This window comes from Homo sapiens, chromosome X, assembly GCF_000001405.40.
Source record: "Homo sapiens chromosome X, GRCh38.p14 Primary Assembly".
Lineage (NCBI taxonomy): Eukaryota > Metazoa > Chordata > Mammalia > Primates > Hominidae > Homo > Homo sapiens.
In genome coordinates this window covers 54,762,195-54,774,270 of record NC_000023.11, presented here as the reverse complement: position 1 = coordinate 54,774,270, position 12,076 = coordinate 54,762,195, and the positions used below count along the sequence as shown (strand labels likewise).

General features: G+C 40.4%; 1 protein-coding gene across 1 annotated transcript in view; it reads left to right on the top strand.

Moving 5' to 3' along the window:
- Positions 1-12,076, top strand: part of ITIH6 (inter-alpha-trypsin inhibitor heavy chain family member 6) — a 49,338-nt gene that overhangs the window by 23,985 nt on the left and 13,277 nt on the right. The window contains exon 6 of the mRNA NM_198510.3: positions 74-190. Within this exon, the coding sequence (NP_940912.1) occupies positions 74-190 (117 nt within the window). The remainder of the gene's footprint in view (positions 1-73; positions 191-12,076) is intronic.

The window sequence follows — 12,076 nt, the reverse complement described above, 5'->3', positions numbered from 1 at the left end:
AGAGGGGACCTGATTTAGATTGGCTTTCACTGTTCTTCTTGGTTCTACTTTTTTTTTTTTTTTTTTGGTCCAGATTTACGATGACTATTTCATTCACTACTTTGCCCCCAGAGGCCTTCCACCTATGGAGAAGAATGTGGTTTTTGTTATTGACGTAAGCAGCTCCATGTTTGGTACCAAGATGGAACAGGTAACAAGGATCCTGGAAACCTTTCTTAGTCCTAGTATCAGAAGACCCAGAAAGCAGAGAGCGTGGTAACAATGGGGCCCTGGGAGAAGAGATTCCACCATCCCATGACCCTTGAGTCTTACAGGCTTGGGCCTACCCTAGGGTCCTGGTATCTTACCTAACAGGAGCCTGTGGACCTGGAGCCACAGAGTCCTAAGAACATTGACACATTGGTCACTGTGAAACCATTGAGACCCTCAACCACGAAAGCCCAGGGTCATATAGGACCCTCAAGCTAGAGCACCCTGGGATCCTAGAATCCAAAAGCAAGAAAACCTTAGGTGAGAAAGACTCTGAGTCTTCCTGAGGCCACAAGGTTTTGGGTCTTTGTAATTTTTTTTTTTTTTACTTTAAAGGCCTAATAGTATAGAGTACTAGCATTATAGAATTAGAAACCATAGAGTCAGGAGTCATATCGATTTTAATCTTGTTGCACTTCTACCACTGTGCCCATGGGTCAGAGTTCTGAGGCCGTAGACCAAGCAGGCTTTGACTTTAGTCCCTGAATCCATAAAGTTCTGCAGGCAGCATTTCATACCATAATACCCTGGAGCTTTTTGTACCGGTGTCTTGCAGTTGTATAGCTTTGCTCCTTAATCTTTCAATCACAGAGCCTTTGGGACCTAAGGCTGAGTTTGTTTTACCAGAGTTGAGCAACCTGGGGAAAAATGGGTAATACCCCAAGCCAGCTCCCCAGCCCCAGTGTAGGGGGAGGGATCTCCCCAAATCCAGCCCTTTCTAGCCTTCTTGTCTCACTGAGGAGGGGTAAAAATCTCAGAAGTCCTTGTGAAGTTTCTATCTCAGGGACACCAATTCACTAAAAGATTGAGACCTCCTCATAAGAGTATAGAATGCTTCCTCTCACTCCACACATTATCACCACATCAACTGGGCTCCTCGGCAATAACGGAAAGTTACAGCTGATAGAACTACAAGCCCAAACCCTATTGAAGAAAATGTTCCTAGGGAAAACCAAAGACAACAGAAGCAACAAAAATACAGACACTAGAAGGGGAGCTGAGGTAGGTGGATCACTTGAGCCCAGGAGTTTGAGACCAGCCTGGGCAACATGGCAAAACCCTGTCTCTACTAAAAATACAAAAATTAGCCAGGTGTGGTGGTGCGCACCTGTAGTCCCAGCTACTCAGGAGGCTGCATTTGGAAAATGGCTTGAGCCCAGCGAGTGGAGCTTGCAGTGAACCAAGATCACACCACTGCTCTCAAGCTGGGGCAACACAGCAAGACCCTGTCAAAAAAATAGTAGTTTTAGCCTCTGACAACTAAAACTGCCCCAAACAAGAAACATTACCTAACTCATAGCCAGATAAACTTAAAACCCCACACTAAATGCCTTTTAGTTTATTTCCTTTTACCTGATACATCACGTCTGGCTTTCAACCTAAAATGAGAAGGCATGCTAAAAGGAGAAAAACACTGTCTGAAGAGAGTAAACAAACATCACAGCCAGACTTCAATATGTCAGATATGTCGAAATTATCAAACAATTTTATTTTTGATTGAAATTTTTTTTCCAACTTTTATTTTAGGTTCAGTGGATACATGAGCAGGTTTGTTACATGGGTAAATTTAGTATTGCAGGTTTTTGGTGTACAGATTATTTTGTCACCCAGGTAATAAGCACAGTATGTAATACATCATTTTTCAATCTTCACTCTTCTCCGAACTTCCACCCTCAAGTAGGCCCCAGTGTCTCTTGTCCCCTTCTTTGTGTACATGTGTGTTCAATGTTTAGCTCCCACTGATAAGTGAGAATATGTAGCATTGGTTTTCTGCTCTTGCATTAATTCACTTAGGATGATTGCCTCCAGTTCCCATCCCTGTTCCTGCAAAGGACAGGATTTCATTCTTTTTTATGGCTGCATAGTATTTCATGGTGTATATGTACCACATTTTCTTTATCCAGTCCACTATTGATGAGCATTTAGGTTGATTCCATGTCTTTGCTATTGTGAATTGTGCTGCAATGAACATACATGTGCATGAGTCTTTATGGTAGAACGACTTACATTCCTTTGGGTATATACCCAGTAATGAGTTTGCTGGGTCAAACGGTATTTCTGTTTTTAGATCTTTGAGGAATTGCCACACTGTCTTCCACAATGGTTGTACTAATTTACACTCCCACCAACAGTGTATAAGCGTTCCCTTTTCTCCACAACCTTGCCAGCATCTGTTGTTGTTGTTTTTTTTTAACTATTTAATAATAGCCATTCTGACTGGTGTAAGATGGTATCTCATTGTGGTTTTGATTTCCATTTCTCTAATGATCAGTGATGTTAAGCATTTTTTTCGTATGCTTGTTGTCTACATGTATGTCTTCTTTTCAGAAGTATCTGTTCATGTCCTTTGCCAATTTTTTAATGGGTCAAACCAAGAATTTAAAAACCCATGATTAATATGCTGTGGGCACTAATGGATAGAGTGCACCACATATAAGGACAACACATGGTAATGTAAGCAGAGACATGAAAACCCTAGGAAAATAAAAAGGAAATGCTGGATATCAGAAATACTGCAACAGGAATGAAGAATCCCTTTGATTCACTCATCAGTAGACTGGACATGGTTGGGTAAAGAACCAATGAGCTTGAAGATACGTTCATAGAAATTCCTGAAGCTAAAAAACAAAAATAAAAAGAATTTTAAGAAACACCCTAGAATATCCAAGAATTGTGGAACAATTTTAAAAGTGTTACATATGCATCATGGAAATAATAGAAGGAGAAGAAAGAGAGAAAGGAACAGAAGAAATACTTGAAGTAATAATAGATACAAATTTTCCAAAATAAATTATGCACACCAAACCTCAGGTCTAAGAAGCTTAGGAGAACACAAAGCAGGATAAATACTAAACAATCTACACCTAGGCATATCATATTCAGACAGCAGAAAAATCTTTTAAAAAGCCAGAGGAAAATGTACCTTACCTATAGAGGAGCAAGGATATAAACTATATCAGACTTTTCTTCAGAAACCATGGGAGCAAGAAGAAAGTGGAGTGAAATATTACAAGTGTTAAAGGAAAAAACCCACCAGCCTAGAATTCTGTATACATCAAAATTATTCTTCCAAAGTGAAAAAAAAATAAAGACTTTCTCAAACAAACAAAAATTTTGGGAATTGTCACCAATAAACCTGCTTTGCAAGAAATGTTAAAAGAAGTTCTACATAGAGGAAGAAAATGGTATATCTCAGATACTTGGATCTACATAAAGAAAGGAAAAGTGTTGGAGAAGGAATAAATGAAGGTAAAATAAAATAGTTTTCTTATTAACTGACCTAACAGATAATATTTTTTCAAAATAACAATGTATTTAGTGAATGTAGCTTAGGAATAAGTGAAATTAATGAGAGTAATATTGTATAGGATGGGAGGGAATAATTGGGAATACTCTGTTACAAGGTACTTGCACTATGCATAAAGCTGTATAGTGTTATTTGAAAGTGGATTTGGATTGGTTGTAAATGTATACTGCAAACTCTAAGGGAACTGCTAAAATTTTTTAAGTCTAATGCGTATGCTAAGAGATAAGATAAAACGGGATCATGTAAAATGCCCAGTTAAAACTAGAGAAGCCAAAAAATAAGTGGAAGACATAAGAGTAAAGAATTTTAAGGGGAGGAGCCAAGATGGCCGAATAGGAACAGCTCCGGTCTACAGCTCCCAGCGTGAGCGACGCATAAGACGGGTGATTTCTGCATTTCCATCTGAGGTACCGGGTTCATCTCACTAGGGAGTGCCAGACAGTGGGCGCAGGCCAGTGGGTGCGCGCACCATGCGCGAGCCGAAGCAGGGCGAGGCATTGCCTCACCTGGGAAGCGCAAGGGGACAGGGAGTTCCCTTTCCGAGTCAAAGAAAGGGGTGAGGGACGCACCTGAAAAATCGGGTCACTCCCACCCGAATATTGCGCTTTTCAGACCGGCTTAAAAAACGGCGCACCATGAGACTATATCCCACACCTGGCTCGGAGGGTCCTACGCCCACGGAATCTCGCTGATTGCTAGCACAGCAGTCTGAGATCAAACTGCAAGGCGGCAGCAAGGCTGGGGGAGGGGCGCCCGCCATTGCCCAGGCTTGCTTAGGTAAACAAAGCAGCCGGGAAGCTCGAACTGGGTGGAGCCCACCACAGCTCAAGGAGGCCTGCCTGCCTCTGTAGGCTCCACCTCTGGGGGCAGGGCACAGACAAACAAAAAGACAGCAGTAACCTCTGCAGACTTAAATGTCCCTGTCTGACAGCTTTGAAGAGAGCAGTGGTTCTCCCAGCACGCAGCTGGAGATCTGAGAACGGGCAGACTGCCTCCTCAAGTGGGTCCCTGACCCCTGACCCCCGAGCAGCCTAACTGGGAGGCACCCCCCAGCAGGGGCACACTGACACCTCACACGGCAGGGCATTCCAACAGACCTGCAGCTGAGGGTCCTGTCTGTTAGAAGGAAAACTAACAAACAGAAAGGACATCCACACTGAAAACCCATCTGTACATCACCATCATCAAAGACCAAAAGTAGATAAAACCACAAAGATGGGGAAAAAACAGAACAGAAAAACTGGAAATTCTAAAACGCAGAGTGCCTCTCCTCCTCCAAAGGAACGCAGTTCCTCACCAGCAACGGAACAAAGCTGGATGGAGAATGATTTTGACGAGCTGAGAGAAGAAGGCTTCAGACGATCAAATTACTCTGAGCTACGGGAGGACATTCAAACCAAAGGCAAAGAAGTTGAAAACTTTGAAAAAAATTTAGAAGAATGTATAACTAGAATAACCAATACAGAGAAGTGCTTAAAGGAGCTGATGGAGCTGAAAACCAAGGCTCGAGAACTACGTGAAGAATGCAGAAGCCTCAGGAGCCGATGCGATCAACTGGAAGAAAGGGTATCAGCAATGGAAGATGAAATGAATGAAATGAAGCGAGAAGGGAAGTTTAGAGACAAAAGAATAAAAAGAAATGAGCAAAGCCTCCAAGAAATATGGGACTATGTGAAAAGACCAAATCTACGTCTGATTGGTGTACCTGAAAGTGGTGGGGAGAATGGAATCAAGTTGGAAAACACTCTGCAGGATATTATCCAGGAGAACTTCCCCAATCTAGCAAGGCAGGACAACGTTCAGATTCAGGAAATACAGAGAACACCACAAAGATACTCCTCGAGAAGAGCAACTCCAAGACACATAATTGTCAGACTCACCAAAGTTGAAATGAAGGAAAAAATGTTAAGGGCAGCCAGAGAGAAAGGTCGGGTTACCCTCAAAGGGAAGCCCATCAGACTAACAGCGGATCTCTCGGCAGAAACCCTACAAGCCAGAAGAGAGTGGGGGCCAATATTCAACATTCTTAAAGAAAAGAATTTTCAACCCAGAATTTCATATCCAGCCAAACTAAGCTTCATATAAAATACTTTACAGACAAGCAAATGCTGACCGATTTTGTCACCACCAGGCCTGCCCTAAAAGAGCTCCTGAAGGAAGCACTAAACATGGAAAGGAACAACCGGTACCAGCCGCTGCAAAATCATGCCAAAATGTAAAGACCATCGAGACTAGGAAGAAACTGCATCAACTAACGAGCAAAATCACCAGCTAACATCATAATGACAGGATCAAATTCACACATAACAATATTAACTTTAAATGCAAATGGACTAAATTCTCCAATTAAAAGACACAGACTGGCAAGTTGGATAAAGAGTCAAGACCCATCAGTGTGCTGTATTCAGGAAACCCATCTCACGTGCAGAGACACACATAGGCTCAAAATAAAAGGATGGAGGAAGATCTACCAAGCAAATGGAAAACAAAAAAAGGCAGGGGTTGCAATCCTAGTCTCTGATAAAACAGACTTTAAACCAACAAAGATCAAAAGAGACAAAGAAGGCCATTACATAATGGTAAAGGGATCAATTCAACAAGAGGAGCTAACTATCCTAAATATATATGCACCCAATACAGGAGCACCCAGATTCATAAAGCATGTCCTGAGTGACCTACAAAGAGACTTAGACTCCCACACATTAATAATGGGAGATTTTAACACCCCACTGTCAACATTAGACAGATCAATGAGACAGAAAGTCAACAAGGATACCCAGGAATTGAACTCAGCTCTGCACCAAGCGGACCTAATAGACATCTACAGAACTCTCCACCCCAAATCAACAGAATATACATTTTTTTCAGCACCACACCACACCTATTCCAAAATTGACCACATAGTTGGAAGTAAAGCTCTCCTCAGCAAATGTAAAAGAACAGAAATTATAACAAACTATCTATCAGACCACAGTGCAATCAAACTAGAACTCAGGATTAAGAATCTCACTCAAAGCCGCTCAACTACATGGAAACTGAACAACCTGCTCCTGAATGACTACTGGGTGCATAACGAAATGAAGGCAGAAATAAAGATGTTCTTTGAAACCAACGAGAACAAAGACACAACATACCAGAATCTCTGGGACGCATTCAAAGCAGTGTGTAGAGGGAAATTTATAGCACTAAATGCCCACAAGAGAAAGCAGGAAAGATCCAAAATGGACACCCTAACATCACAATTAAAAGAACTAGAAAAGCAAGAGCAAACACATTCAAAAGCTAGCAGAAGGCAAGAAATAACTAAAATCAGAGCAGAACTGAAGGAAATAGAGACACAAAAAAACCCTTCAAAAAATCAATGAATCCAGGAGCTGGTTTTTTGAAAGGATCAACAAAACTGATAGACCGCTAGCAAGACTAATAAAGAAAAAAAGAGAGAAGAATCAAATAGACACAATAAAAAATGATAAAGGGGATATCACCACCGATCCCACAGAAATACAAACTACCATCAGAGAATACTACAAACACCTCTACGCAAATAAACTAGAAAATCTAGAAGAAATGGATACATTCCTCGACGCATACACTCTCCCAAGACTAAACCAGGAAGAAGTTGAATCTCTGAATAGACCAATAACAGGAGCTGAAATTGTGGCAATAACCAATAGTTTACCAACCAAAAAGAGTCCAGGACCAGATGGATTCATAGCCGAATTCTACCAGAGGTACAAGGAGGAACTGGTACCATTCCTTCTGAAACTATTCCAATCAATAGAAAAAGAGGGAATCCTCCCTAACTCATTTCATGAGGCCAGCATCATTCTGATACCAAAGCCAGGCAGAGACACAACCAAAAAAGAGAATTTTAGACCAATATCCTTGATGAACATTGATGCAAAAATCCTCAATAAAATACTGGCAAACCAAATCCAGCAGCACATCAAAAAGCTTATACACCATGATCAAGTGGGCTTCATCCCTGGGATGCAAGGCTGGTTCAATATACGCAAATCAATAAATGTAATCCAGCATATAAACAGAACCAAAGACAAAAACCACATGATTATCTCAATAGATGCAGAAAAAGCCTTTGACAAAATTCAACAACCCTTCATGCTAAAAACTCTCAATAAATTAGGTATTGATGGGACGTATTTCAAAATAATAAGAGCTATCTATGACAAACCCACAGCCAATATCATACTGAATGGGCAAAAACTGGAAGCATTCCCTTTGAAAACTGGCACAAGACAGGGATGCCCTCTCTCACTGCTCCTATTCAACATAGTGTTGGAAGTTCTGGCCAGGGCAATCAGGCAGGAGAAGGAAATAAAGGGTATTCAATTAGGAAAAGAGGAAGTCAAATTGTCCCTGTTTGCAGACGACATGATTGTTTATCTAGAAAACCCCATCATCTCAGCCCAAAATCTCCTTAAGCTGATAAGCAACTTCAGCAAAGTCTCAGGATACAAAATCAATGTACAAAAATCACAAGCATTCCTATACACCAACAACAGACAGAGAGCCAAATCATGAGTGAACTCCCATTCACAATTGCTTCAAAGAGAATGAAATACCTAGGAATCCAACTTACAAGGGATGTGAAGGACCTCTTCAAGGAGAACTACAAACCACTGCTCAAGGATATAAAAGAGGATACAAACAAATGGAAGAACATTCCATGCTCATGGGTAGGAAGAATCAATATCGTGAAAATGGCCATACTGCCTAAGGTAATTTACAGATTCAATGCCATCCCCATCAATCTACCAATGACTTTCTTCACAGAATTGGAATAAACTACTTTCAAGTTCATATGGAACCAAAAAAGAGCCCGCATTGCCAAGTCAATCCTAAGCCAAAAGAACAAAGCTGGAGGCATCACACTACCTGACTTCAAACTATACTACAAGGCTACAGTAACCAAAACAGCATGGTACTGTTACCAAAACAGAGATATAGATCAATGGAACAGAACAGAGCCCTCAGAAATAACGCCGCTTCGTGAACCCAGGAAGCGGAGCTTGCAGTGAGCCGAGATTGCACCACTGCAGTCCGCAGTCTGGCCTGGGCAACAGAGCGAGACTCCGTCTCAAAAAAAAAAAAAAAAAAAAGAAAAGAAATAATGCCGCTTACCTACAACTATCTGATCTTTGACAAACCTGAGAAAAATAAGCAATGGGGAAATGATTCCCTATTTAATAAATGGTGCTGGGAAAACTGGCTAGCCATATGTAGAAAGCTGAAACTGGATCCCTTCCTTACACCTTATACAAAAATCAATTCAAGATGGATTAAAGATTTAAACGTTAGACCTAAAACCATAAAAACCCTAGAAGAAAACCTAGGCATTACCATTCAGGACATAGGCGTGGGCAAGGACTTCATGTCCAAAACACCAAAAGCAATGGCAACAAAAGCCAAAATTGACAAATGGGATCTAATTAAACTAAAGAGCTTCTGCACAGCAAAAGAAACTACCATCAGACTGAACAGGCAACCTACAACATGGGAGAAAATTTTCGCAACCTACTCATCTGACAAAGGGCTAATATCCAGAATCTACAATGAACTCAAACAAATTTACAAGAAAAAAACAAACAACCCCATCAAAAAGTGGGCGAAGGACATGAACAGACACTTCTCAAAAGAAGACATTTATGCAGCCAAAAAACACATGAAAAAATGCTCATCATCACTGGCCATCAGAGAAATGCAAATCAAAACCACTATGAGATATCATCTCACACCAGTTAGAATGGCAATCATTAAAAAGTCAGGAAACAACAGGTGCTGGAGAGGATGTGGAGAAATAGGGACACTTTTACACTGTTGGTGGGACTGGAAACTAGTTCAACCATTGTGGAAGTCAGTGTGGCGATTCCTCAGGGATCTAGAACTAGAAATACCATTTGACCCAGCCATCCCATTACTGGGTATATACCCAAATGACTATAAATCATGCTGCTATAAAGACACATGCACACGTATGTTTATTGTGGCATTATTCACAATAGCAAAGACTTGGAACCAACCCAAATGTCCAACAATGATAGACTGGATTAAGAAAATGTGGCACATATACACCATGGAATACTATGCAGCCATAAAAAATGATGAGTTCATGTCCTTTGTAGGGACATGGATGAAATTGGAAACCATCATTCTCAGTAAACTATCGCAAGAACAAAAAATCAAACACTGCATATTCTCACTCATAGGTGGGAATTGAACAATGAGATCGCATGGACACAGGAAGCGGAATATCACACTCTGGGGACTGTGGTGGGGAGGGGGAAGGGGGGAGGGATAGCATTGGGAGATATACCTAATACTAGATGACGAGTTAGTGGGTGCAGCCCACCAGCATGGCACATGTATACATATGTAACTAACCTGCACAATGTGCACATGTACCCTAAAACTTAAAGTATAATTAAAAAAAAAAAGAATTTTAAAAGAATAGAAAATATTTACAACTATGGCAAATATTAATCCAACTATGTCAGTAATGACTGCAATCATAAATGGTTTAAATATACCAATTAAAAGACAGATACTCTCAGTGTGGATAATAAAATAAGACCCAATTGTAGGTTGTTTATAAGAAAACCACTTTAAATATAAAGATGCAGATAAATCAAAAGCAAAGGGATAGAGAAAGATATACCATGCTAACACAAATTAAAGAAAGCTGGCTGGGGTAGCTGTATTAGTTTTGGACAAAATAGACTTCAAAGCAAGGAAATTTTCAGCAATAAATAGTTGCATTATATGATATAACAATAAAACAAATATAATGGTAAAGGGGAAATTCTCCAAGAAGACAAACAATCCTTAATGTGCATGCAACGAACAACATACCAAAATATATGAAGTAAAAACTGACGAAACTGGAAGGTAAAAATACATGAATCCACTATTATAATTAGAGACTTCATCATCGCTTTATCAGTAATTGACAGATTCAGCAGGCAGAAAATCAGTAAGGACATAGTTGAACTGAACAGCACCATCAATTAACTGGATCGAATTGACATTTCTAGAATACTTTATTCAACAACATTACACATTCTGCTCAAGCAGATTACACATTCTTCTCAAGCTCACGTGGAACATTTACCAAGATGGACCATATCCTTGGCCTTAAAACATACCTTAACAAATTTAAAATAATATAAATTGTACCAAGTATGCTCTCAAATCAAATGGAATTAAACTAGAATTCAATTACAGAAAGATAGCTGGGAAATCTCAAAGTAATTGGAGATTAAACAGCACACTTCTACAGTCTATTCCCGGTCAACAAGAGGTTCTGACTTCTAGGACCTCATAGGCTCTCACTTTTCTACAGCTCTTCTCAGGAAAGGCAATCCTATTAAGTCTCTTCCCTCTCAATGGAAACAAGAGTATGGTGCTTAGCTCCCTGTCCCAGAATATACGACCTATCCCCAGAGCTCTCCCTATGGCAGGAAAGACTCTAATCCACTTAGAAGCATTCAAGATATTTCCTATCCGTTTAAGTTATAGAGAAAGGTGGGTCTCAAGTGTCCTTCCTGTGGTCTCTGAAATCCATATCTATATAAAGGATTGAAAGCATAATATTGTGCTTAGGGTCACTGGATTTAAAACCTCCCAAATGTGTATTTGAATCCCTTGTCCATCAATGACTAGCTGTATGACCTTAAGCAAGCACCCACCTCTCTGAGTCTCAGTGTCATCACCTGTAAAATGAGGATAGTATTAATACCTTCTTCATTGTGTTGCTGTGATAATTAAGTGAGCTGATGCATCAAAAGGGTTAAGCACAGTGCCTGGAACATAGCAAGTGTCCTGTAAATGATACCTAATAGTAGATCCTACACACTCTATTCCCTGAACCTCCTATGGGCCTAGCCCTATGCTAGTATTGCCATGGAGAAGGGAGACAAGAAGCAGCAACATTATAAGCCCTTCTCTCAAAGGGTTCAATATTTGGATAGAAAGTAAAAATATTTCATGTAAAACAGTCAGTTAACAGACTGGGACAGGGAATATCTAAGTGAGAAGGGCAGGGGTCAGGGTTGGCAACTTAAGGAAGAACTTTCCAGAGAAGGAGCAACTGAAAGAACAGTAAAGATGTGAATAAATAAAGGGAAGTTGGAAAGTATGCTATCTAAAGAGCATAAAATAGCAAGGTTTATGGAGTTAAACTGGAACCTGAGTTTTCTAGGGGCTGGTGAGACCAGCCTGGAAGAAATGGAGGGTGAGGCAGAAGAGCAGATTACAGCAGAACCAAAGCATGCAAAGTCATTGAAAGGCAGCTATAAAGACCTGGGATCCTGTTTGCAGATGACATGATTGTATATCTAGAAAACCCCATTGTCTTAGCCCAAAATCTCCTTAAGCTGATAAGCAACTTCAGCAAAGTCTCAGGATACAAAATCAATGTGCAAAAATCACAAGCATTCTTATACACCAATAACAGACAAACAGAGAGCCAAATCATGAGTGAACTCCCAGTCACAATTGCTT